General features: G+C 41.7%; 1 long non-coding RNA gene across 2 annotated transcripts in view; it reads left to right on the top strand.

The window, feature by feature from the left end:
- LOC105378521 (uncharacterized) overlaps nucleotides 1–27,863 on the top strand; it is a 78,111-nt gene that overhangs the window by 18,788 nt on the left and 31,460 nt on the right. The window contains exon 4 of one of the 2 annotated variants that reach the window (XR_946376.3): nucleotides 19,730–20,038. The exons of the other annotated variant lie outside the window; for it this stretch is intronic. This is a non-coding gene — a long non-coding RNA (uncharacterized LOC105378521). Of the gene's footprint in view, nucleotides 1–19,729; nucleotides 20,039–27,863 lie in introns of those variants that run through there. 2 annotated transcript variants of the gene reach the window in all.

The following is a 27,863-nucleotide window of genomic DNA, read 5'->3' as shown; positions in this document are numbered from 1 at the left end:
AGCTGGGGGTAGTGGTGCAAGCCTGTAGTCCCAGCTACTCAGGAGGCTGAGGCAGGAGAACCACTTGAACCCAGGAGGCAGAGGTTGCAATGAGCTGAGATCATGTCACTGTTCTCCAGCCTGGATGACAGAGAAATACTCTGTCTCAAAAAAAAAAAAAAAAAAAAAAAAGAAAAGAAAAAGAAAAAGAAAAAAGAAAAGGGCATTTGGTGATATCTGAATTCCGGTAACGTGAGCAGTTTCAGTCATGCTACGTCCCTCATTAACTTGTGATGAAAATGTACACACAAGGCACTAATTCTTTATTTTCACAAAATAAGATGGTGGCTAATTTGATTTGAATGCTCCAGTCTGTGAGAGCGCTTAGTGATTTTTAATCCAATTAGTGTTGGAGATACTTCTGATTCTAAGGGTATCCGGTTTCTGCTTATGGTATAAGTTCTATTTCCCAATGACTCATGTTTCAAGAAGGGAGAAGTTGGGGCCTCTAGTCAATAAAAGGGGTCTGTTTATGTGATTGCTTTGTTTTCTGTTATTAAACCCGAGTGGCAGAAATCATAGGTTTTGCTTTTAGTTCAGATTTCAATAAGCAGCAGAAAACCCACAGACAATTTCGACTTGAAAGTTTGCCATACAAATTAGCATCATTTCTCAACCGGCTCTCAAAACATCCTGCTTGAAGGTAAACAAAAACTGCCACCATGACCACCATGCTGGGGAACATTCTGGAAGTCTCAGTCCAGAGGTCAGCGGTCAATAAGCAGTGGGCCAGCTCTTGATTTGATCTGAGTTGTACAGCCAGATAAACTTCAGGGCCTGATTCACCCCATCCTTGCAGCTTTTCTCCTTCTGTTAGACTTCAAAGTTGGCCTGGACCACTCTCCAAATAAGTAATATTTTCACTGAGAAAATCATGCCCCAAATCAAATAGTCAGCTCTGTTTTAGTTGGCACTACGTCCATTTAATACTCTGAAACTTCTGAAAAGAAAATGTGTTTGTAGTAACATCGTGGTACAATTTTCACACTTAAATTTTTGTAATCAATAAAACTCTTCATCACTTTCAGGGTAATTTAGTAACAAGAAACTTTCTTCTGTCCTTGGCTGTTGTTGATAAAAGTCGCACGAAACCATCTTAGACATAACACAAGTTGTGCCCTATTGCCCCTGAGATAAATCAGCCTATGATCCAATTTTTATGTGACAGGAAAGTGAAAAGAAAACAGAGAAAAGTGAAAATGATCTATAGGAAAACACTTTGCAAGAGCCCATCTGTTTGAGGACATGTTTTTTTGAGCTGTGATCTGGCTCATATGATTGGGGAATAAAGTTTGTCATGAAGTGCAGTCTCGTTGAGCATTGTTCAGGGGAGGATGTCGCTAAATGCTTTTGGTGTTATGTCACAAGATGGAATTTAATATCTCTGCTGCGTAGGCTCTCAGGTGATCAGGAAAAAATTGGGAAGATGAATCTTTCATATTTCCAGCAGGAAAAAAATTCCTGGGATGTCTTTACTCACATTGCTCTCTATAATGAATCTGGCTATGTATGTTCAATTAATTATGAAACACACAAGAACCAATCATAATACTATACAGAAATTAAAAACAAATACTGTCCTATCAGTGAAGAGTTGTTGTGGAGCATGGACAACATACCTCTGTTAAGAATGTGGAAAACGGTGACAGGGAGTGGCCTTGAAATAATTTTTATTTTGGAAGGCTCTAGGAAAATAAAAAGAATATTGAACATTGGATCTGGGCTCATGACAAGGGGGTGCTGACAAGATTATGTCTTTTTGGTGCTTCCAGGAAAGGGAGTTAATTGGATCTGTGGTTTTTAGATTTAGTTGGTGCTTCTGGCATGGCTGCTGGATGGAGCGGGTTCTTGGGTTCATTTTCTTGCTGGGTCCTATGCCCGGTTCCACAGTATGAGAGGAAAAGATTCTGCAGTTCATCAGTGCCCAGCATGTTTTGACAGCCTGATGCAGTGAGACACACATTTATTTCAGCAACACAGAAAATGTAGATGCCACCAGGCACCAGGGGAAAGGTCCTTTGTGAAAACCCAGATTATCTATGCTATTATCTCAAGTCCAAAAGGCAAAGTGAGGAGGAGAGAAGATATGGTTAGAAAATGAAGAATACAGGCCGGGCACAGTGGCTCACGCCTGTAATCCCAGCACTGTGGGAGGCCGAGGTGGGCGGATTACCTGAGGTCAGGAGTTCAAGACCAGTCTGGCCAACAGGGTGAAACCCTGTCTCTACTAAAAATACAAAAATTAGCCGGGCGTGGTGGCACACACCTATAATCCCAGCTACTTGGGAGGCTGAGGCAGGAGAATTGCTTGAGTCCGGGAAGTGGAGGTTGCAGTGAGCTGAGATCGTGCCACTGCACTCCAGCCTGGCCCACAGAGTGAGACACTGTCTCAAAAAAAGAAAAAAAAAAGAAGAAGAAGAATATAAACTCCAACCACATAAGTCAGGTGATCCGGACTGGATCTTCATTTCCTTACTAATAAAGGGATCATCTCATCAGCTACAACAGATCATCTCAAAAATTACAATCTCCCCCTTCTACAAATCTCCTAGTCTAGAAATTGATGAAAAAAAAATTTTATTACAAAGTTAAAGTCCATGTTTATAAAATACCCTAATGTGCTAGCACACCTGTATTTATAAATTGTAGACTTTAATTTCCCTTTATAGGGCTAATGCAAAATTCATTATTCCAAAAAAAAATTTATAATCCATTGAAAATATAAATGCCTAATGGGCATCCTGATTGCATCCAAATTCTTGGGTTAGTCGGAGAAATGAGAAAATTCTATTCGTATTGCTAGTTTACAATTTGCACCATTAGTACACTCTCTCCTAGGTGTGAGTGACTAAGTTATCCAAACAGTTCAACCCTCTAAATTTCCAACACAAACCAAAGCAACCAAATATAAGAAAAGAAACAAACAAAAACAAGAAAGCAAAACAAGAGGGAAATAGAACTGAAATTCTTGCTTCTTACATCATCCTTAAACAAGAGTATGCCTTCAGCTGTTTCCTTTAAAAAACCAGACATTCCTAGTGTTTTGCATTTGATCACTCCAGACATTGGGGAAGAATGAGAATGGGAAAAATGGTTTCCCTCCAACTTACCTCTTTCAAGGGAGATTCCAGCAGGGCACCTAGTGGAGTTTCAGCAAGAAGCTGGCTTTCCATGACTCTTTCCCCTTTTTTTCCCTCCCATATCCTTGGCTTTACTGCAGAAAATATAGAGTATAGCATGATTTCTCTTTGAGGCAGCCATGAAGAAAATTTGGAGAAAATTGTAAGACTTCTGATCTAATTCCTGTAAGTTTGGAGTAGTCTTTGGTATATCTCTTCCCCTCATAAATAAAAATCTTTAGAGATAATTATGATTTGAAATAAATTGAGCTAGTTTAGAGTTAATTAAGAAAAAAACATATCGGCACTAAATATTTGCTAATTCCAAGATGACTGAGGTTTTAAATATTTAACTTGTAAATATAGTGATGCAGACAAACATAACTTTATTAACAAGGAAGTTTAGGAGATTAAAATCCAGGAACACCATGCTGCAGTTGGGTCACGTTATGCATTGTGCAACCTCGTGAACTCATATTCATTGTTTGGGACAAAAGATTCCAGTTAAGAATGCACGGCTTTGGATTGTGGTAGCCTGTTTCTTCAGATTGCCCTTCATTATTTTTCCTTCCTTTGCACTTTGAAAATTCTATACCTATCTTTGGAGAAGCTTCCCCAAATATCAACAAGTCCCTTGGTACCGCTTTCAACAGGATTTGGAATATTGATACAGATTCTTTAGTTACCTGAGTACCATGAGACTCACACATTAAGTACAACTGTGTGTCATCCTGTGCCAGTTATTCATGCCTCTCAGCTCCAGATTCACCCTTCGTTGCCTGCCCTTGGAGAATGGAGAGAGCCCTTTAAATATGTTGCCCTTTCCAGCTGGTATAATACCAGGCTGTGTTAGTGGAAGGTGCTGGAGAGATGCTGCAGGAGGAGGGGGTTTTTCTTACCGGTTCTGGGAGCTCACTTGTCTTGTGCACCTGGCAGGGCTTCTTTAGCACCAGGTTTCTGGTGGCCCCAAGGGCTTCAGCAGTGTCCAGCACCTGCAGTAATGGTGACTTTCCCAGCCCCAATCCCCTCAGGGTACATGGTCAGCAGTACCCAGTGGCCAGGAGCTTTGCCTTGTCTCCCCACAGGGCAATCTCATAGTCTAGTGCCTTGTGTCATAGAGACAACGCTCTGTGAACAGCTTTCCCTGGCACTCTCAAGGGCAGGTTTCCAGCAGGTTCTTCTTGTACAGCACCACAGCAGCTTCCCTGCCATCCAGTGAGCCATGGCCATGCCTTCTCCAACAAGGTCTGGAATTCAGCCCCGAGACTGAGGTGGATGGGGCGGAGGCTCTACCTCAGGCTCTCTCCATAAGCCTTAGGTGTGGTAACTGCTCCTTACACCTGCCATTCCTATATTTCTTAGAGTTCTGTTTATCCAGTAGTAGCCCATCCCCCATGACCCTAATCTGATTTTATAGTTAATAAATCTCTATGTTAAACTTTTCCTATTTAAATTACTGTGTGGTTTCTGTTTCCTGATTGGACCCTGACCAATAAACATCCCAAGGTGAAAATTGACTTGTATTTATGGGAAGATTGAAAGAGAGAAATATTTTAAATCATAACAAATATAGTTAAATTAATTGTTCATTTTTTAATGTTGGGTGGTTAGTTTTGGTGTAAGCTCTCTTCATCTTGTATTACTGTCAGTTAGTTTTCTAGGGCTGCCATAACAATAGACCACAGGCTGAAGGGCGGGAGTAGGGGGTGAGTAGGGGGACTTAAACAACAGAAATTTATTCTCTCACAGTTCTGGAAGCTAGAAGTCCAAGGTTAAGGTGTCAGGACGTTGAGTGTCTCCTGAGGCCCCTTTCCTTGGCTTGCAGATGTCTGCCTTCTTGATGTGTCCTCACATGACCTTCTCTGTGTGCACACATCCCTGGTGTCTTTCTGTGTATTCAAGTTTTCTTTTATAAGGACACCAATCAGATTGAGGGCGACTGTTTCAGCCTCATTTTAACTTAATCACATCTTTAAGGGCCCTGTCCAAATACAGTCATATTCTAAAGTACTAGGGGATTAGAGCTTCAACACACAAATGTTGGAGGGACACAATTCAGCCCATATTATACTTTTTTTTTTCTTTTCTAACTTCGGTATTAGATATCAATCATGTAGAAGTAACTCTGCAGTACTGAGAAGATCGTCAGACTTGGCCTTGGAAGACCTGATTTTGGGCCAAAGTTCCACTACACACCAGCTGGGCAAGTGGTTGAATCTCTTGAATCTCTGTTTTCTCATCAGTTAAAGAGGCTTAAAGGGGCATAACAGGGATTCAATGAGGTCATGCCAGTGAAAGTGTTTTAGAACCTACAGAGGACTTTATAAAATGCGAGGCATTCCTTGGTAGGTGTATGAAATCACACATTTTCTAAAAACTCTCCCATTACATTTCATACTTGATACTTATTAAAAGGCATCGCCAACCTATTAAACAAGTGTTAAGTATAAATGATTTGTATAGCCAAAACCTCTTTGGTTTAATGACCATAGGAAAAATTTCTTTGGTCTCACAGTTGTCTCTGTACATTCCAGGTCATCTTAATCAAACCCAAATTTTGAGTTAGTTATTGCATTATCTCTTGTTTTCTCATCTTTTGCAGAAGTAATAAGTAATACTTTTAAAGCCTCATGAACTTATTTAATAGACTTAGCCTTAGTTTTTGGAAAAGATAGAAACTACATGGTCTTTAGAATGACAGCCAGCAAAATTTTTGGCAATTACAATATTCACTATAAGCTGGTGCTCATTTTACCAAATATCATGGCATCCCCCTCACCAAGTAATTCAGTGCCTGCAGTCAGTCATCTTGCACAGCGAGAAACTGAGGCACCAAGTGTCATTGTCTTGTTCAGGTCCCAAAGAGAAGGAAAACTCTTATTTGTTGAGGAGTTTTATGTGCAAGGCACATTGCACAAATATATAATTTAATCCTTACAACAGCCCTAGGAAGCAAGTAGTAGTATTAAACCCATCTTACAGATAAGGAAACTGAGCTTCATAGAGAGTAAACAGTTTGTCCAGAGTCACATGGCTGATAAGTAATAAATCAGAGATTAGAGCTCAGACCTGCCTGACTCTGCTCTATTACTGCGGGTCTTATCTCTTCCTTCTTCCTTTGGTAGCCAGAAGTTATTTACAATGGTCTCAATTTAATAATATTATTAACGGTATAATTGTCACTGGATTCAAAGCAATTAGCAATTTTATCTAATTGAGTTTGAATTATACAATTCTCCAGTGATTAGCTTCATAAGCGTTCTCAGGCTACATCACAAATATTAAAAGTTAAGTGCTGAATCAAAAAAATTTTTGCAAATATTCAATCATGTGCTATAATAGCACTAATTGGCCATTTTCGTCTTGTACATACACAATCATTATCTACAGTGATATTTTTTCTGTTGCCTTTCCAGTTTTCCCTCTGCCATCTGTGTATGTGTTAACTTCATCTGTAGAGCAAGTTGTGTTCATATATTTACCTAGTAAAGGAAAAGGCACTTATGATAACTATTTGTTTTCCTTTTCAACTTTTACATCAGACTCAGCAGCTGAGAAATAGCATACTTTTGAAAAATTTAGTCTCTTTCAAGTTTGTGCTAGATCTTTAAAAGGCTTGACATTTAACCCTCCATAGCTTTACTTTGAAATCTTGTTGGAACAATCTGGAAGAGTGATCTAATTTCAAAAGGAAAACAGGAAAATAAAAGTCAAGTCAAACTTTACTGAAATTGCAGAGACAAGTCATGAGGCTCAAAGAGAAACTGAATGAGATTGTCGTTGCTTTAATAATGAGAGGGAGGAAATGATGTCAATTTAGTAGGACCATTCATGGGGAACCATTCTCCTTTGAGGTGTCTCTCTTGGAGTTCTTCCCTTACAGGGCTTTGCAGTTCAGTTATTTCAACCTTAACTTCACTCCCTGATAGATAGGTTCCTTAAGATCAGGAATTGTTTAACTCAACCGTATCTCCTATTCGTTATCTTGTCTCAATTGCCTTAATATGGGTAATCACTACCTCTAACTGGACTATTACAGTGGCTTCTAGAGGAGCTTCCTGCCTCCAGTCTCTTCAGCATGACCTCTTGTCAACACTGCAATATGATCCAGTCCTAAAACTGCCCCAGCTGATGCCAGATTTCTCCCCATATACCATCTGAACTCCATCACTGACGCTGAAGGCCTTATGAAATTTGGCCCAAACCAAATACTTTGTTAACCATGTTTCCCACCATTTCTACTCTTTTCCTGGTGCTGCCCCCTGCAACATGAGAAGTAAACAAACAAGAGGATGTGATATTGAGGAACATCCAATGGCCTGGTGGGAACTTCTCTGGGCTGAGTGCTCAGAAGAGACCTCTTTGAGGAGGTAGCATTTGTATTGAGATGTTTGGGAGCTAACAACATGCAGAAGTGGGTAAAGAACATAAATAGGCAGATGGAAGCTCAAATGCAGAGGCCATGTGAGAAGACAGAGTCTGGTCTTTTTATATGGACATGATGGAGACCAGTGCTCCTGGAGTATATTAAGAATAGGAGCTGCAGATTAGGCAGGAGGCAGGTTCTGGAGGAGATTTTTAGCCTTAAGGAAAGGACAATGGTGAGCCCTTGAAAGTGGGACAGTGAGATGACACAATCCACATTTAGAAAAGACCATCTTGGCTGCTGGGCAGAGTGAAACAGAGGGGACTCCAGTTCCAAACAACTATTTTCCCAAGTCACCTTCCTGAACATGATCGGTGTATACATGAGGGATTATTTCTTGTTAGTAAATTGTGAGGAGGATCACAATATCTTTCTTTGGGTCTGCATTTTGAAATTTCCATGGAGTAGGCAGGTGTCAAGGTACTTCTTCGAAACATTGTAGTTTTGCTAACATTTTACTTAATAAAGTCATAAAGCCATTTCTAGCACTTGCAATCCAGAATGAAACATGCAGTAAGTACCTACTGTGGACCAGACGTGGTGCTTGGAGGAGAGACAAAGAAAGACAGAGACAAAGAAAGGTGATTCTTATCCTAGAGAGTCTTAGAGTATAGTAGGTTAGCATTGTTCCCAGAGGTCCATGTTAAAAGTTCTGTTGATACCTCATCTTAAGACTCTTAATGAACCATGTATTTTAGCACTTTATAACATTATGACATTGTATTATTTATATCAGCTTATAATATACTATGACTACCAGGTGATATTTTCACAGCACAGTCACATATTTTTCTATATTTTCCAATCCAGTCTATGCAGTTGGTTTTTCCTTTCCCATACTTGGCCTCAATGACTCATTCTTCTTGGTTTTGGTGACATTTCTAAGGATATTCATAAAATTGAATCTTAGCTGAAAACAGCCTAGGATCACTTTAGAGAAGTCTTTCCCCACATAACAAAAAATGGTGTTGATTAAGTAGTTCCAGGAGTGGGGTTGACTGTGGTGTCTCCATAGTAGTATGATAGGTTTCTTCTCAGTCTTTGCAGAAACTATAGTTAGAAAGTGATCAACTTGAGTCTATTTCTTTGAAGTGGGACTGTAGTTGGGTTTGAGAACAGACTCGAGATTTGCAAGGACTTTGGAAATTCTGAGTTATGTGCCCCACAGTTAAAAAACCATACCTTAGATGAATCTTAAATTCAGCTGATTAAAGAAAAATAAATAAATAAAATTATACCTCAGACAAGTAGCCTATTTTTAAGGAGAACACTTAGCCTTCTATTCATAACCACATTTGTTGCATTTGGCTCTAGTAGGAAAAATTAAAATCTTGTGTTTGTCAGCAATGAGGCCAGGATGCCTATACCCCGAGTTTAAATATCCAGGAATCATCCAGTGGTTTGCTTTTATTGTTCATAAAGTCAGCAGAGACAAACCACCTGAGTAGTTCCAGATGTTGAATCAACAAGGCCCTACTTCACAGACCTACATGTAAAAAGTACATTTATAGGCCCAAGAAAAGGCTGGGAGGACTGTGCTGTTTAAGAATAGACAGACGCTTTCATTCTTAAAACAGATTAAATGGGGGATGTCTAGCCTTGCAGATGGCAGGGGTAGGTGACATTTACCTTTCTTTGGTCACTTGAGGCTTCATGTTGTAATCCACTCTCCTCTGCTCTGTTTGTTAAGGAGAAAGCCCAGCAATTGGTGGGTCAACTCCAGAGGACAGGGCTGTTTTAAGATAGCAAGGCTCTCTCAGATTTTAACAAGATTACTTGAGGGTAACAGGGCAAAGGGAAATATCTCCACATTGGCTCAAATGCTGGAGAATATAGAGACATAAATGTGGCTTACAGTTATTAAGGTCTTTTCCATTTCACTGATATTTTGGCATTGAAGCTAACATCATTCCAGGCACCTTGCTTTGTGAGTTGGCTACCGAGGGTAACATTATATAGAGGTAAGAAACATAGCTTGCATGGGCCTGGGGCCAGGAGGTTAGAATTTGATGCCATAAATCTTAAAACCACTGAAGGTATCTTAAATTTAGGTTTACCTGGCACAGCCAAAAAGTGAAAGTTCTGATATCCAGAGTTCCTACATGGCTATAACACATAACCTTACTGAGTGGCAAAGAATTTTTATGGCCACTGGCAAGAATCCAAACAAAGATTCAACTATCTCCCCACAAGATATTTCAGCGGAGTGACCTAAGTTAGTCAAGTAAGGTTCTGGCTCATAAATCTGAGGTTGGAATAATAACATTATTCTATGCCCTAAATATTACGTTACAATTAGCAGAAGATGGAAGCATCTATATTATTTGTACACAGTGTTACTCCATTGTCAATCGATGAGTTATCATGATGATCAGGTAATCTCATGTACTGTGCAGTAGCTAAAATCTAACGTTTCTTGAGAGGTGATTATGCATCAAGCATGGTGGTGAGTGAGCTTTAAACATTATCTTGTTTAAGCCTCCCAAGTCATATTATGAAGTAGGTGCTCTTGACAAATGAGGAACCTAAGGCATAGGCCAGTTTTAAGCAATTGCCCAGGGTAACAATGTGATGGAGTTCTCATTCAGGCCAGCCCCATGTTCTCAACCCACACACTGTATTCCACACTCAAGGCCTCTGTCAACAATGATAGCAATTAAAAAAAAACTTGAGCATTTAGAAATATTAAAGACATTTAAAGAATCTATCAAGAATAATGGAAGGCATCTCACATAGCCACCCTCCAAGGTTAAGAAATAAATATTGCCAGCACAGTTAAATCCATCATGTATACCTTCCTCAATCTCCTTCCCTGCCCTCCCCCTTTTCCAGAGGTAACTCTTAACCTGAACTGGATTCTTATCATTCTCATGCATTGCTTTCTACTTTCACTACATCAATGTATATCCTTACGCTATACATATAGTATGGTTTTATATGTTTGTATGAATGGTATATCATACCTTATGTGTTCTTTTACAACTTTTTTTGCCCAACGTTGTATGTGATAGTTAATTTTATGTGTCAACTTGACTGGATGAAGGATGCCCAGATGGCTGGTTAAACATTATTTCTGAGTGTGTCTGTGAGGATGTTTCCAGATGAGATGAGCATTTACATTGGGGGACTCAGTAAAACAGACTGCCCTCCCCAGAGCTGGTGGTCATCATCTAATCTGTTGAGAGCCTGGATAGAACAAAAGAAGGAGGAAAGAGAAATTTGCTCCTCCTTTTTTCCCCTGCCTCACTGCTTAAGCTAGGACATCTCATCTCATCTTCTGCTCTGGGAGTGGGGTTTACACCATCAGCTCCCCCAGTTCTCAGGCCTTCAGATTCAGACTGATATTATACCACTCTTTTTTTTTCCCCTGGGTCTCCAGCTTGCAGATGGTAGCTGTATTAGTCTGTTCTCATGCTGCTGATGAAGACATACCCAAGACTGGGTATTTATAAAGAAAAACGAGTTTACTGGACTCACAGTTCCACCTGGCTGGGGAGGCCTCACAATCATGACAGAAGGCAAAAGTCACATCTTACATGGTGGCAGGCAAGAGAGAATGAGAGCCAAGTGAAAGGGGAAACGCCTTATAAAACCATCAGATCTCATGAGACTTATTCACTACTATGAGAACAGTATTGGTGAAACCACCCCCATGATTCAGTTATCTCCCACTGGGTCTCACCCACAGCACATGGGAATTATGGTAGCTACAATTCAAGATGAGATTTGGGTGAGGACACAGCCAAACATATCAGTGGTTCATGGGACTTCTCAGCCTCCATAATTGTGTGAGTCAATTTCTCATAATACATTTTATACACACACACACAGACACACACATACACACACACACACTATATGAATATACATATGTAATACATGTATATTATATGTATGTGTGTATATGCTATGTAATATATATGTATGTAATGCATATATGTATTATGTAGGTATGTAATTATACATGTATATATTATATAATTATGTAATTATATATTACATAGCATATATATAATACAATATATGTATTAATAAAGAGAACAATATGTTATATATATGTAATATTACATATATAATACACATATGTAATATTACATACATATATATTATATACATATATGTAATATTACATCCATATATTATATATGTATATAACATATTGGTTCTCTTTCCTTGTTTCCATGGAGAAATCTGATTAATACATTGTATTATTTGTATTTGCAGGGTTTCTTCATGTTGATGTGTGTGGCTGTAGCTCTATTTACTTTCACTATATGAGGACACCCTATTTTTTTCATTTCTCCTATTATAAAAGACACCTTCCAATGAAGCAGGTCAGCGACCGTCACACCACCTTCTGTATTTACCGGGATTGATACCAGTGTCACTGTTTTATTGATAGAGAAACCAAGCTTAGTTCAGTGCCTTCTCCAAGGCTTCATAGCCAGAAAGTGGCAGGACCAACCCTTGAACTCAGTTCTCCATGGTCTGAGGCTTTCTCTTCCACTGAATGCCGACCTTCTCAGATGGTGCTCTAAAAGTCCACGCTAAAGCCCCTCTGCTAGGGCTTTTTCTGGCTGTCTTTGAGTGTATTTTTCTTTCTGAGGTTAGAACAACATAAGGAATCCCACTTGGGGCCCAGGTCCTCACAATGCCTCCTCTCCTATGCTCTTGAAGGATGCTGAAGGTAGAAGCAGCATGTATCTTATCCCGATCATTACACCTGAAGGTCTTAATAGCTGTGCGGCAGTAAAGACAACACCTTCCCACCTTCCCTCGGGTGGGTCTGCAGCAGGGCACTCCATTTGTATTTGTAAAAGATTCCCTTAAAAACATCCAAAAACTATATATATAGTTTATATATATATATATTTTTTTGTGTGTGTATATATATATATACAGTTTTTGTATATATATGTGTGTGTGTATATATATAGTTTTTGTATATATATGTATATATATACACACACATACACATATGGCTAGGACATCTCATTTATCTTCTGCTCTTGGTACTATAATACAATAGTACTAGTCTGAATCTGAAGGCCTGAAAAACAGGGGCACCGACGGTGTAAACCCAGTAAACACACACACACACACACATATATATATATATTGGCAGGGAAGTTCTGCAGAGTGCTTCCAGGAGGCTGTAGTGTCGGGGTGAGGGGTGTGGGGGTGAAGGTTGAGAAATTTGTTACCTTTGGTCCTAATGTTCAATACTTGAGCCTTTGAAGGACATGTAAACCGATCAAAACAACAACAACAACAAGAAGGCACTGACAGCCAGAAAATATCATGGGAGTCTTTGTTTTGAAGAGGGTAGAGACTGATTAATAAAACTACAAGCCAATTATTTCCACCGGTCACTTTCTTTTCTCGCAACGGGTAGCACCTTGGCAATGAGGATCATTTAGAAGCAGAAAGATCATCATTGTTTTGTTTTTCATGGTAAGCATTTCTACAAGAATAAAGTTGAATATTTTGGGAGAAATAAAATTTAAAATGTTTTATTATTTAAAACTTGAGCAAAGTAGTAAAGTCCAAATCAGATTGTAGTTTAATAGTATCATACCAATATCAGTTTTCTGGTTTTGATATTATACTATAGTTATGTAAGATGCTGTCACTGGGGGAAAGCAGGGTGAAGGTACTGTCTACTATGTTAGAAACTACATGTTTAGTTTAACATCATTTCAAAGTAAAAAAGAAAAGTTTTTTATTTTTCTCTTTTAAAAAGAGAAAACTTGAGCAGCCCTGTTTAGATTTTGGGCCAGGCAAGCCTCATCAATAAGGCATTTTATAGCAATGTGCTTAGGATAAATGGAGAGTCAGAATTTTGAAACAATGTTTAGCAGCCAGTAAATTGACTAGAAGGCAAGGTTAGTGTTTGCATAGCACCTTAAAAAGTTTACAGTCATCCAGCCTGTTAGAACATATGCTGTCCCAACCCCTCCTCCCAAATGTACTGTACCTTAGGGTTTCTGAAGCATGGTACTGTTGGCATTTTGGAATGAGCAATTCTTTGTTGAGGGGGGCTGTCCTGTGTATGGAAGGATACATACATAGATATTGGCATCATGATTTCTACCCTCTAGATGCCAATAGTACCCTGCTTCTCCAGTTGTAACAACCAAAAAATATCTCTAGGCATTGCTAAGTGTCCCCTGGGGGGCAAAATTGTCTCAGTTGAGAATCTCTGCTATACTCATAAAACAAATCTTTTATCTGCACTTTTAAAAGTAAATGAAGGCCGGGCATGATGGCTCACACCTGTAATCCCAGCACTTTGGGAGGCCGAGGCGGGTGGATCAAGAGGTCAGGAGTTTGAGACCAGCCTGACCAACATGGTGAAACCCTGTCTCTACTAAAAGTACAAAAATTAGCGGGGCATGGTGGCACATGCCTATAATCCCAGCTATTCAGGAGGCTGAGGTGGGAGAATCGCTTGAACCCGGGAAGCCGAGGTTGCAGTGAGCAGTGAGCTGAGATTGTGCCACTGCACTCCAGCCTGGGCGACAGAGAGACTCTGTCTCAAAAAAAAGAAAAGAAAAGAAAATGAAAACTTGGTGATTTTATAGGAGATTACAATGACAGCACCCTCCCACCCATCCTTCTGTTGGCCTTAAAGCACAAACTCCTTGAGTAGAGATTCTGAATATTTTGTTTTGTTTTGTTTTCCGAGATGTAGTCTTGCTCTGTCACTCAGGCTGGAGTGCATGGCACGATCTCGGCTCACTGCAATCTCGGCCTCCCGAGTTCAAGCAATTCTCCTGCCTCAGCCTCCCAAGTAGCTGGGATTATAGGCACCCATCACCATGCCCAGCTAATTTTGGTATTTTTAGTAGAGACGAGGTTTCACCATGTTGGCCAGGCTGGTCTCGAACTCCTGACCTTGTGATGCGCCCACCTCAGCCTCCCAAAGTGCTGGGATTATAGGCATGAGCCATAGCACCCGGCGGAGACTCTGAATTTCTTTAAATATACAATCTCACTCATTCTTTAGTGTCATGAACATGTATGGTGGTATTGAAATAGAAATATTTTCCGTTCTTAAAAAACTGAAACAGATATGTCAGGATAAATGTACATAAGATCCCAAAAGAACAGAGTGTGTACAATGTTGGCCTTATTGAGTATCATGTAGACTCGTAATTTCACATGTGAAGGTAACTTGTTACATTAAAACCTTCACAGGCTTTAGTTTATTTAAGCCTCTGGGGCTAACACAGCACATTTCTAAATATTATGAGTTTTGTAAAGGTGCATGGCGAACAAGCAGCCTGCCGGTGCACTGGAAAAGTGATAAAAATCTGCGCGGAGCTTAATCACAGCTTTCTCGGGAGTGTATATTTATGTGGTGATGTCAGCATGGTATCCTATAACTGGCTGAAGGTCATGTTCTGTGTTCATCTGCACGGGATTTAGAAACTCTCAAACAGACTTGCTGGAGAAAAATGGCCAGCTGAGTTGGAGCATGGCGGCCCCTTCCCAGTTTGTGTTCTCCTCGAGCAAAGGAAGTGAACAAAGAAATCCATCTTTAAATGAATTCAAAACCACAGAGGCTCCATCTTTTGCCACATGAATTATTTGAGTTATTGAGGCTGGCTCCAGTGTCAAGCCGTGTATGTTGCCTTAATGTATTTATTTAACCCAGGACTGCCGCGGAGAAGGCAGACCCACCTCAGCACGTGAAGGTCTGCGACAAAGGAAACATTCAGACCAGATCCTGTGTAACAAACACATCAGGAACTCTGGACGGGGAAAGATGTTGCAAGCCCAGCACAATGCTGGGCTTTATTCCCCTTGTGGAGTCAGGCTGTAGTCAGCCAAACTGTAAACTGCTGTTGACTGAGCCGACCCAGCCGGATGGCCGACCTGGAGGGAGAGGGGGCTCCAGCTCGGCTGCTCAGAGCCCTGATGGTGGTGCGGACAAGTCTGGGGCTGTCAGCGGCTTTGTATTTCCTGTCAGGGCTCCGTATTGGCTGCAGGCAGGGAGGTGGAGTCTGCACCGAAAGAATCTAGAAGCCCATTATCATCACACTCTGTTCCATAAACCCACACAGCAATCTGGCCCACTCGGCCAGGTCCTGGACTCAGGCAAACCTCGCTCTATATCTGGAAGGGGAGCACTAAGGTCCCCGAAGATTGCTGGCATGTACCACGTTCTGTGGTTATGGTGACTCTATAAATGACACACTCACCAGGCCAGTCACAGATTAGGGTAATTCCCGTGGAAGGTATTGGGTTTATTGTTTCTTGGTTGGTAGATTTGGCAATTGGGATGCAGTTCAGTGCCTTTGGGTGAAAGTAGGAGCCCAGCTCCCATGAGAGACAGCTTTGTCTTTCCATCAAATCCACCTGAGATGCCACCCACGAAATCCAATCTATTGACAGGGACACAATTCAAACTAATGTCAGCAAAAAATAATTACCACACATTTATTAATATATGCCAGGCACTGTTCTAAGTCCTTCCCAATATGAATATATTCGATCTTCACAACAGCTCTGAGAGGTAAGATTATCATTATCCCCATCTTATAGATGAAAAAACTGAGGCACAAAGAAATGAGGCAACTTGCCTCCAAGCCACACAGTTATTCAGCCACAGCTGGAATTTGTACCCAGGTAGACTGGCTGCAGCATTCACTCTTGAGTACCGCCTGATATAGCAAACAGGAAAAAGTACTAGCTCAGGGGCTGGTTTGGGTACTGGAGTGACCTGCAGACACACTGGAAGAGCTTCAGGGACTTTATAGCACCGGGCTCTTTCTTTCTGCATGTGTCTGATCCACCCCTCTCCTCTTCTTTTTGAATACCCATTCCCTCCTGCAGCAAGTAGTGAAAAACATGGCTCCCCGAAGTCTCAGTTGGGCAACCCAGTGGAAAGTGCACTTCCTCCCCACTTTCTAAGCCTAGATCACTGTCCCCTGTGATGAGTTGTGGCACTCACACTTCCCTTACCCACAGCCTTTTCCATGTGATTTTGCAATCCTCCCACAAATTCACCTCTCCACCTTTTCATTCTGAGTGTGGCTATGTGATTCATCTGGTCCATCAGACATTAATAGATATGACACAAACCGAGGTTGAAAAAGGCATCTTCATACCTCTGCTTCTACTCCCGGAGCTGTGCCATACCATGACAACATGCCAGGCCAGCATACTAAAGGCTGAGGGACCTGTGGGACAGGACCAAGATACCCAAATGCCCCTGCAATGGCCAGACAGCCCCTGGATTGGGAGAGAACCCAGCCAAGAATAGAACTGTGAGGCCAAGCTCAGACAGAATGATCTACCTGTAGATGCACGAGCTAAAGGACTGCCCTGTAGCCTCTGCATTTTGGTGTGGTTTGTTGTACAGCAGTATTCAAGGTGGAAGGAATAGGGCATGGTCATTGATATCCCTACCAGGACTATGAAGAGTCAGAGAGTTGGTCCTCGGAGGAAAAGGGGAGCTCTTACCAGACAAAGGGCCCTAGGAAAGCATTCTACATAGACGGCGTCAGAGCTTTGTTCTCCAAAACCCCTACTTTTTCTTTCATTTTAGGAATCTTGTTGAGATACTATCTGGAGTCCCTTCTGCAATAAACCTTATGAATTTCCCTTAGATTTAAAAGCCAAAAATCTTTTGATTTTCTTTTCTTTAACAATGTACATTTTAAAATTGATTACATTTTCCTTTTTGCTTTGACCTCTAAGAAGCTTAAGGCCAAAACAGTGGACCAAAATTAGTAGATTTTTGGACCTGAAGATATGCATTTTGTTTCACTAAACTTCCCTCTTACTTCATTTTACCATTTTGCCTCTACTTTCTGTTGTCTTGATTTTAAAAATGTTGTTTCTATCTCTCTCATTGTTTTGTGTGTTTATTAAGTTATCTCAAGTTCACTTTGAGATTGGCAGTGATATAAAAATGTAACTAATAACACTGTTATTTTTAACTTCTGGTGAACAGTAGTTCAGATAAACTCAAAATTTATGATCGCAGTTCCTTTGACATGACAGGAATTATGGTTTCTTAACATTAAACTGGACTATTAAGAAGTAAATAAGATCTCATAATAAGATAAAGGAACATGAAAATTGCAATGAGATTAGCATAGATCAAAAAAATTTGGTAAGTCAGTCGTCTTGACCATAGGAGAAAATTTCTGTCATGCATTGCTATAGGAGTGCAAATTAGCACAACTGCTGTGTAGAGCAATTAGGCTATGTCATTTACGTTAAATGCATCTTATTTATCTTAAAATGCATATATCCTTTGGCCAGCACTTCTGGGAATGTATTCAATTTTATTTATTATAATAATACATTTTAAATTTAAATTTTAAAAGTGAAATAAATTTATTTACATTTTGCATCTGGGAATTTATCTCACAGCTGTTAGAGTGCAAAATGATATATGGATAAGGAAATTTACTGTGGCTTTGTTAGTAATAAAACAAACATTTGGAAACAACCTGAATGTACCTTAATGAAGGAATGGATAAGATGGTACGATCCGTATAACAGTCATTTAAAAATGAGAATAATATCTATGTCATAACATGAAAAGGTCTTTAGGGCACAGCATTAAATGAACAAAGCAAAGTCTAGAACATTGTGCGAAGTATACCACCTTGTGTGGGGGGCAGTGTGTGCAGACATGCATAGAAGTACACATATTTATTCTTGTGTGCCTACAGAAGATCTCTGGAATAATATTCAAGAAATCTGGTAATAGCCGTGCATTCTAAGGATGAAAGCTGGGTGCCTAGGGCCAGAAGTGGGAGACTTATTTTTAATGTTATATCCTTTTGTAAGTTTTTAAAACTTTCTACCATATTTGTGTGTAATCCAGTTTAAAAAATTTTTTTAAATTAAATTAGTTCTTACTGGTTTATTACATAAGGAATTACTACAATTGCTTCTTAGTGTGAGGAAAGAAAATAAATCTAGCTCCTCTAGCAATTTTCTATATTAAGGCAGTTGTGTCATTTATTGAACGACAGCTCAATGATCTGAAAAAAATAATTAATATGCATGTCCCCAAAAGAATGCCTGTGGCTCATGGAACATAGCTTTATATATAACACTCATCATTACATTAGACACCATATCAATCCAATACAGCCAACACTTACTGAGGGCCTCTCATCAGCCAGGTCTTCTGTTGGGAGCTGGAAACAACCACAAAAATCATACAACTCTCTCTGTCCTTAAGGTAGTCACATAGGCGACTAATATACTGTGATGAATTCTAGTGTCCTTGAAGGCAGGAGCCGTTGGACTCATTTTTGTATCTCTAGCATCTAGCATATGGTAGATACTTCCAGAAAATTTGTGGAATGAATGAATGAATGAATGAATGAATGAATAGGTGCTGCATTGAATAGGCTGAAGGAGACAAACTCTAGAGAGGGAGGCAACTCAGAAGTAGCAAGTTGGGTCATGAAGAGTTGCCCAAGTCCACAGCTTCGTTATGCAGCACCAAGACCATTGCAGTTAAGTGTCCATGTAAAGGGTTAATCTTTATTGACATAATGAACTATATTTAGTGAGTTGGCAGGTGGATGACTTCATGGTTTTCTGGAAAAAGCATGAGCTTTGGGGCCAGAAAGACCTTTGTTAGGAACCAAACTACCATTTATCAGCTAAATGACTATGATAATCTTTCTGAGCCTTAGCCTTCTCATTTATAAATTGGAAATAATCATACCTAACTTCCAGGTTCATTGTGAGTGTTGGGAATCATTTCTTTATTGAAGAACTTCGCTTTAGTGAAGAACTTGTGTGTGCCCGACACCGTGCTAGCCACTGAGTAATGAACAAAATTGAACCCTGTGGTTAGCACCTAGCAGGTATTCATGCATGGAACCCCTTAAGATTACTAATTTTGTTTGGTGTGTGATTGGACAACGCTTCTTCCCTCCAATCAGGGAGAATTAAGAAAGAATGACTGGACACTTCCATTAGGGTGGCATGAATGGAAGGGGGCTTCACAAAGAAGATGAAGATGAGTAGAGGGATAAATCCATGTCTGGACCAATAAGTTCAGAATTACTCGGAGAGATTGTGACTCTCAAAGGATTCAACAGGGCTTCTTGGCAGAGATCTCATGCTCCTGGCGTAAGTTGTGTGTTTTTTTATTTTCCAGAGATAGTAAGAGGCACCAAAGGAAAAATCAGGAAAAGCACAACCAGGAGTAAATGATCATCTTCACCAGCCACACACAGCTTCCTGACCCAAAGCTCTCCCTTCCTTCACCTGGCTGAGGAGGGAAGGGCTTTCTTCACTCAACACTGATCCAGGGAGGCTGTGAGTGCCAAAAGGACAAGCCACTTGCTGACTTTTGCCTGAGGGTGAGAGTAGCCAGAATAAGAAGGGATGTGGGGACATTGTTAGAGGAAAAGAGTTAAACAGGCAGAAGTTCTGGAGGGGAGAAAGTGTAGAGAGGTGTTGGGGCGGGGGGTTCCCTACCAGTAGAGGGAAGGCCTCTGAGATGACATCTTGAAGGCTGGTTGATGATACCTTTCTCTGTGCTATAAATGGAGATAAGACAGACCAAACACCCAACCAGTAGTGTAGGTTTGGATGAATGACTGTAGTCATTAAATAACAATCTGTTTGAAATTTCTGTGTGGAAGCCTGCATGTGTGTGCATGTGCTTTGGAAAGTGTGAAACAGACAGTCATAACATGCAGGGGAAGAGTGTCCACATCCATAGAGACATCTTCAGAGAGTCTACAGCTATGAGGAGACACATGCACAGATGCCTCCCAGTGCTGAGATGCTCCCATGGACCAAAGGTGTGGGACTTATCACAGGGATAACACTATCATAAACCAGCATCGTGCCCTGGCCCCCACAGCCCCTGCAATACATCTCCTATCTCCTGTCTCACTCCTCCACCTTTGTACAGGCTGCTTCTTCTGTCTTAAACGTTTTGCTAACCCCATCGTGTCCTTCAAAGCTCAGATTGGGGTTTCTTCTTACAGGAAGCCATCTTTGGTCATCACTTCCTTCCCTACCCCCAGGCCTATCCCCCAGTGTCCTGAGCATAGCTGACCACATGGACTTCAAGTTATCTATTTCTCTTCCTCTTCTGCTAGACTGTCGACTTGAGTACAGGTATAGTAGTCCCTCTATCTGTGGTTTTGCTTTCCATGGTTTCAGTTACCTGCAGTCAACCATGGTCTGAAAATACTAAGTGGAAAATTCCAGAAATAAGCAATTCATAAGCTTTAAAGTGCATGCTGTTCTGACTCGGCTCACTGCAACCTCCACCTCCTGGGTTCCAGTGATTCTTCTGTCTCAGCATCCCAAGTAGCTGCAATTACAGGCACCAGCCACCACGCTTGGCTAATTTTTCTATTTTCAGAAGAGATGGGGTTTCACCATGTTGGCCAGGCTGGTCTCAAACTCCTGATCTCAGGTGATCCACCCACCTCGGCCTCCCAAAGTGCTGGGATTACAGGCATGAGCCACCACGCCCAGCCCTATCACTTTATCTTATCATGTAGGCTTTTTATCATCTCACAAGAGCAGTAGGTACATTACAATAAGATACTCTGAGAGGGAGAGAGACTACATTCACAGAGCATTTATTAAAGTGTACTTACAATTATTCTTATTATTGTTGCCAGTTTCTTACTTTGCCTAATTTATAAATTAAGCTATCATGAGTATGAATGTAGAGGAAGAATGTGGTGTATATATAAGATTCGGTGCTGTCTGTGATTTCAGGCATCCACCGGGGGTCTTGGCATGTATTCCTGAGGATGAGGGGGATGATTGTAATGGATCTTATATCTTCAACTCCTCACCCTACAGCAGCATTTGGCATATAGTAGGGACTCAAAAAATGGTTGATTAAATGAATAAACTAGCTATTGAATGAATTTAGAAAACTCAATTACTGTGGGAATGTTGACAATTTTAATAGGTTTTCTTTCTCTTTTTTTTTTTTTTCAAGTTTAAAATGTTCCAGTGAGGTGACAGTGTATCATCTATGCTTAACCTCTAGCAGGGTATAAACGAGGGCACAAAGGGATCCCTCCTGCTTTTCTGAGGAGCTCAGGGGTGTGAGAATGTACCTATCATCTAAAGCAAGGACAGAGCCAAAAGGAGTCCACGGAGTAATTGGTGGTTTTATGAATTGTTCCCTAGAGGTGATATTTTCATATGCCAGTTCCAGATTCTGGTATATCCTCTTTGGAATGCTTCTTGAAAAGCTTTCGTTCAATAAAAAAGAAGTTACCCCACTTAGAAACACAGGACTTCACTGACAGGAAGCGTTTTGTTCTTTTCTTCTCCACATTTAAAGAATAGAAAATTCAACTCCATTCATCTTGAAGATTTAAAAACAGATGTGGCTCTCATGGCTCATCCACAGCCGCTGAGCAAGAGCCAGCTTCTGAGTGGTTCACAAGGAGCAGCTTGTCTATCGGGAACCTACCCCCAGCCCCTCCTAGGGCAAGAGCCCAACCAGTTTTCCTACATGAGGTCATCACTTTACAATGGGGTTTAAAGCTATTTGTTTTTTTAAACAGCTGGTTCAAACCTTTCACTTGCATCAAAATGTAAAATTGCAAAGCAAGTACTAGCATTTCACATCGGATAAGTACAAACAATGGGGTCAGGCCACAGGCTCAGACATAGATTTGACTTGCCCTGGTCATCATCACTGCTGAACTGAGGGGTCAGACAAATACGGGGCAGAGAAGCTCTGATGGAGATTGGGGGGTTTGTTCTTGGAGTGGTTTTGCCCAGACCTCAAGAAAAGGATTCCCATGGATGGGTCTGGAAGGCTGCTGTAGAGTGATTATGCATGGAGAAGGCTGGATTCCTTCTGGTGACCAGTCACCTCAAGGATTCGGCTTGTAATGCCACTGAGGCTGCTTAATTTAGGAATAACAGATAAAAATAAAATCAGGCTAAATTTTTTCAAGATCAGGTTGACAAAATTACATTTTAGTCAGCTATTGATAATGAGGAGAAGAAACAAAGTATTTGGCATTGTCAGGCTTAGTTTCCAAACTCCAGTTCTATCACATAGAACTGTATGAACTGGGTAAATTACCTAACAAGACATAGCCTTAGTTTCCTCCCATTTAAAATGGTGACTATGAGACCTACCTTGGAGAGTTATTGTGAGGAGTCAAGATAATGTCCACAATGTACAGCAAGGATGGGGCTGTGCTATTACTGAGAGGTGACAGCGTGCTGGCAGTCCTCAGAGCCCTCGCTTGCTCTCGGCACCTCCCCTGCCTGGGCTCCCACTTTGGTGGCATTTGAGGAGCCCTTCAGCCCCCCCCCCACTGCACTGTGGGAGCCTTTTTCTGGGCTGGCCAAGGCTGGAGCCCACTCCCTCAGCTTGCAGGGAGGTGTGGAGGGAGAGGCGTGAGCGGGAACGGGGGCTGCCTGCGGCACTTGCGGGCCAGCTGGAGTTCCGGGTGCGCGTGGGCTTGGCAGGCCCCGCACTCGGAGCAGCCGGCCAGCCCTGCTGGCCCCGGGCAATGAGGGACTTAGCACCCGGGCCAGCGGCTGCGGAGGGTGTACTGGGTCCCCCAGCAGTGCCAGCCCATCGGCGCTGAGCTCGATTTCTCACCGAGCCTTAGCTGCCTTCCCGCGGGGCAGGGCTCGGGACCTGCAGCCCGCCATGCCTGAGTCTCCCACCCCCTCCATGGGCTCCTGTGCAGCCCGAGCCTCCCCAACGAGCACCACCCCCTGCTCCATGGTGCCCAGTCCCATCGATCACCCAAGGGCTGAGGAATGCGAGTGCACGGCACAGGACTGGCAGGCAGCTCTACCTGCAGCCCCAGTGTGGGATCCACTAGGTGAAGCCAGCTGGGCTCCTGAGTCTGGTGGGGACGTGGAGAGTCTTTATATCTAGCTCAGGGATTGTAAATACACCAATCAGCACCCTGTGTTTAGCTCAAGGTTTGTGAATGCACCAATCCACACTCTGTATCTAGCTGCTCTGGTGGGGATGTGGAGAACCTTTATGTCTAGCTCAGGGATTGTAAATACACCAATCGGCACTCTGTATCTAGCTCAAGGTTTGTAAACACACCAATCAGCACCCTGTGTTTAGCTCAAGGTTTGTGAGTGCACCAATCGACACTGTATCTAGCTGCTCTGGTGGGGCCTTGGAAAACCTTTATGTCTAGCTCAGGGATTGTAAATACACCAATCAGCACCCTGTGTTTAGCTCAAGGTTTGTGAGTGCACCAATCGACACTCTGTATCTAGCTGCTCTGGTGGGGACGTGGAGAACCTTTATGTCTAGCTCAGGGATTGTAAATACACCAATCGGCACTCTGTATCTAGCTCAAGGTTTGTAAACACACCAATCAGCACCCTGTGTTTAGCTCAAGGTTTGTGAATGCACCAATCGACACTCTGTATCTAGCTGCTCTGGTGGGGCCTTGGAGAACCTGTGTGTCAAAACTCTGTATCTAACTAATCTGATGGGGACTTGGAGAACCTTTGTATCTAGCTCAGGGATTGTAAACGCACCAGTCAGCGCCCTGACAAAACAGGCCACTGGGCTCTACCAATCAGCAGGATGTGGGTGGGGCCAGATAAGAGAATAAAAGCAGGCTGCCCAGGTCAGCATTGGCAATCAGCTCGGGTCCCCTTGCACACAGTGGAGGCTTTGTTCTTTCGCTCTTTGCAATAAATCTTGCTACTGCTCACTCTTTGGGTCCACGCTGCTTTTGTGAACTATAACACTCACTGCAAAGATCTGCAGCTTCACTCCTGAGCCCAGAGAGACCACGAGCCCACTGGGAGGAACGAACAACTCCAGATGCGCTGCCTTAAGAGCTGTAACACTCACTGCGAAGGTCTGCAGTTTCATTCCTGAGCCCAGCGAGACCACGAACCCACCAGAAGGAAGAAACTCCGAACACATCTGAACATCAGAAGGGACAGACTCAAGACGTGCCACCTTAAGAGCTGTAACAGTCACGGCGAGGGTCCGCGGCTTCATTCTTGAAGTCAGTGAGACCAAGAACCCACCAATTCCGGACACATTACTATTACTAATAGTGATATTAGTAATAGTAATGCAGTATTTTGCTTTGAAAAACAGTCTCTTTTCAGGTAACCCAGCAACCCCCTCCAAGTGTAAAGAGGCAGAGGCAAGATAAAAATACTGACAGGGCCGAGGTAATGAAATCCCATTTTATTAAAGAAATGACAAGGTGCAGATGGCCTGGTCTAGTGCCTTCTTCTATATGGGTTCCTGCCAGGATTATATACTTTTTCATGTGTTGGCTAAGGTGGGGCTAAAGGTCTGTCCATATTCATAGCCCAAGAAAACTGGATCATTTCACTGTCAGATGGAAGGACAGCCTACACAGAAGGGAGGTTTATTTGATCTATACTCCCTGAAGCTTCAACCTCCCAAGGGAATTCAATTCTATTCCCTTCGTCCCAGAGCATGGAGCTTGGTCCACACAATCAGTCTATCTTTTGGCACCTGAGAGATGCCTGAGCGGCAGGTGTATCTGCTTAGTATCCAACCTGTTTTTATTGCCAATCCCAATGACACAAGGGAGTTCAACTGGCCATGACTTTAGAGGAGTCAGAGGTTGTCATTGTTCCAAGAATACAGTTTCACAACAGCCATAAAATGAGGACTCTGTTTAGCCCAAGGATAATGAAATGGGCTGAGGATCTCCAGCTGTGAAACTAAAAACGATAAACTTTCCAGCAAATTGGCAAGAGTATTGTTATACTCATCTTTTGTCTTTGGGGAGGTCATAAAAGACATCACTGCACTTCAGTTACACAGAAAAGAAGATCTCCCATCCCCTAACCCCTGCCTCAGGGATGCCGTCTCTGTGCCTCCCAATACTCAGACTAATAGTCTCAGAAAGTTTAAAAAGGGCATTTTATAAAATCCTTTTGATGTGAAATGCTGAAAGCACAAACTGAAAGATGTTAACAGTAAGCCTGTGGTCCCAGTGTCCTGAGGACCAGTCATTTGCTGCCTGGTCAGGTCTTGGTTCAGCACAAACCAATACAGCCACCTCTACTGTGGGCGTGAAAACAAATACCCCTAAAACTACTTCAGGAGTGACATGGGTGCTGCAGAGATTCACCCAAAACGTCTGGCAGAGCTGTGGAGCCACCTCCCTTCAGGGACAAAGAGCATCTTTTGTTAATTGCCACCCAGTAGTTCCCATTAGGGAATCACTCTTTTACTTAATGTCACTCCACGTGGTTCTGGGGAAGCTGATTTCATCCTTGATTCTGAAGGTTGAGGGATCCAGGCTTAAACCACTCAACAAGTTGCATTTTCTCTGGCCACTTTGATTGGTTGAGACATGAGCATGTGACTCAACTAGAACCAATGAGATGAGATGAAATTTTCACTGGGGGGAATTCTGGCAAACTCTCACAGCTTGTGAAGCGGGAAGGACGTGAGTGAGGCCTGGGCTACTGCAGGGGGAAATCCAGATAGTGATCTGAGAGACAGAGGGAATGGGGCATGAGGCTCACCATTGGAGCCCTGCCCCAAGCTGAGCCTCGGGCCAGCCCTCTAGTAGTTTTGGCTGTGCAAGTCAATGACTTCTCTTTTCTCTTCCAGTCACTTTGGGTAGGAAATGTTGCCATTTAAACTCCTTTATTGCCCCATTGTGTCTTCTTTTGCTTCTCTGTCACTTCCTCTTTTACTATTTGTAGTTTTTTTATTAGTTTTTTTCTCATTCTAAAAACAATCCATCCTTAGTTTAGAAAATTTCATAAAGACAAAAAAGAAAGCAATGTGATTTTCCCAAGATCAAGCAGTTCTCAGGTGGCTGATGCCAGAGGCAGTGTTCCTGACCCTACAAGCTACTTTTAGCTTCTCACAGACCTTTTCAGCATTCTGATGTAAAGCTTTCAGTCTTTTCCCCCTGTGGCGTTTTTGTTTGTTTATTTGTTTTTTGATTTTTTTTTTTTTTTTTTTTTTAGATGGAGGCTTGCTCTGTTGTGCAGGCTGCAGTGAGTGGCACAGTCTCGGCTCACTGCAACGTCTGCCTCCTGGGTTCAAGCAATTCTCCTGTCTCAGCCTCCCAAGCAGCTGGGACTGCAGGCGCCCACCACCACGCCCGGCTAATTTTTGTATTTTTAGTAGAGACTGAATTTCACCACGTTGGCCAGGCTGGTCTCAAACTCCTGCCCGCCTTGGCCTCCCAAACTGTTGGGATTACAGGTGTGAGGCACGTGCTCGGCCCCTTTGAGTATTTTTTATGAACATATATTATTATTTAAATAATAATAGGCTGGGCGCGGTGTCTCACGCTGGTAATCCCAGCACTTTGGGAGTCCGAGGCGGGCGATCACAAGGTCAGGAGATCGAAACCATCCTGGCTAACACGGTGAAACCCCGTCTCTACTAAAAGTACAAAAAATTAGCCGGGTGTCAAGGCGGGTGCCTGTAGTCCCAGCTACTCGGGAGGCTGAGGTAGGAGAATGGCATGAACCCGGGAGGCGGAGCTTGCAGTGAGCCGAGATCGCGCCACTGCACTCCAGCCTGGGTGACAGAGTGAGACTCTATCTCAAAAATAAATAAATAAAATAAAATAAAATAAATAAATAATAATAAAGCTCAGATGATATTACAAATACAGTTTGTATTCTTTTTTTAAACTTAGTAATATATCATTGACATTTCCCCCAAGTCAATTAAATATTTTGCAGGAACATGATTTTTAATGGTTGCATAATATTTTAGTTGAATTAAATATATCATAGTTTATGTAAACATGCTCATATTGTTGGAACTTTCTATTTTTTTCTATTTAAAAAGACAAATAGTTGGAGCACAAGGGATTTTTAGGACACTATTCTGAATGATGCTGTCATGGTCTGTACATGTCACAGATTTGGGAAAACCCATAGAATGTACAACATAAACAGCGGGTCCTAATATAAACTATGGACTTTAGTTACTAATAATGTATTAAGATTGGGTCGTCAATTGTTACAAATATACCATACTAATACAAGATGTTAGTAATAAGGCAAATGTTGGGGAGGGAGGAGCATATGGGAACACTTTATTTTCTGCTCAATTTTTCCATAAACCGAAAGCTTTTCCAAAAATGTCTATTCATTAAAAACAAATAACAGAGTAAACAAAAAACAATGTAAGTATAATTTTTAAACCAATTCTGATTATTTCCTTAGAATGAATGTCTACAGGTGGAATTATTGAAGCAGAGGCAAAGATATTTTAGACGTATTGCCATAAGTTCTTTTCAGGAAAAAATGTATCACTTTACATTCTCACCACC

This window comes from Homo sapiens, chromosome 10 (assembly GCF_000001405.40).
Source record: "Homo sapiens chromosome 10, GRCh38.p14 Primary Assembly".
NCBI classification, from domain to species: domain Eukaryota; kingdom Metazoa; phylum Chordata; class Mammalia; order Primates; family Hominidae; genus Homo; species Homo sapiens.
Note: the sequence above shows the minus strand (reverse complement) of the source record. Positions and strands in the feature narration are given on the sequence as shown.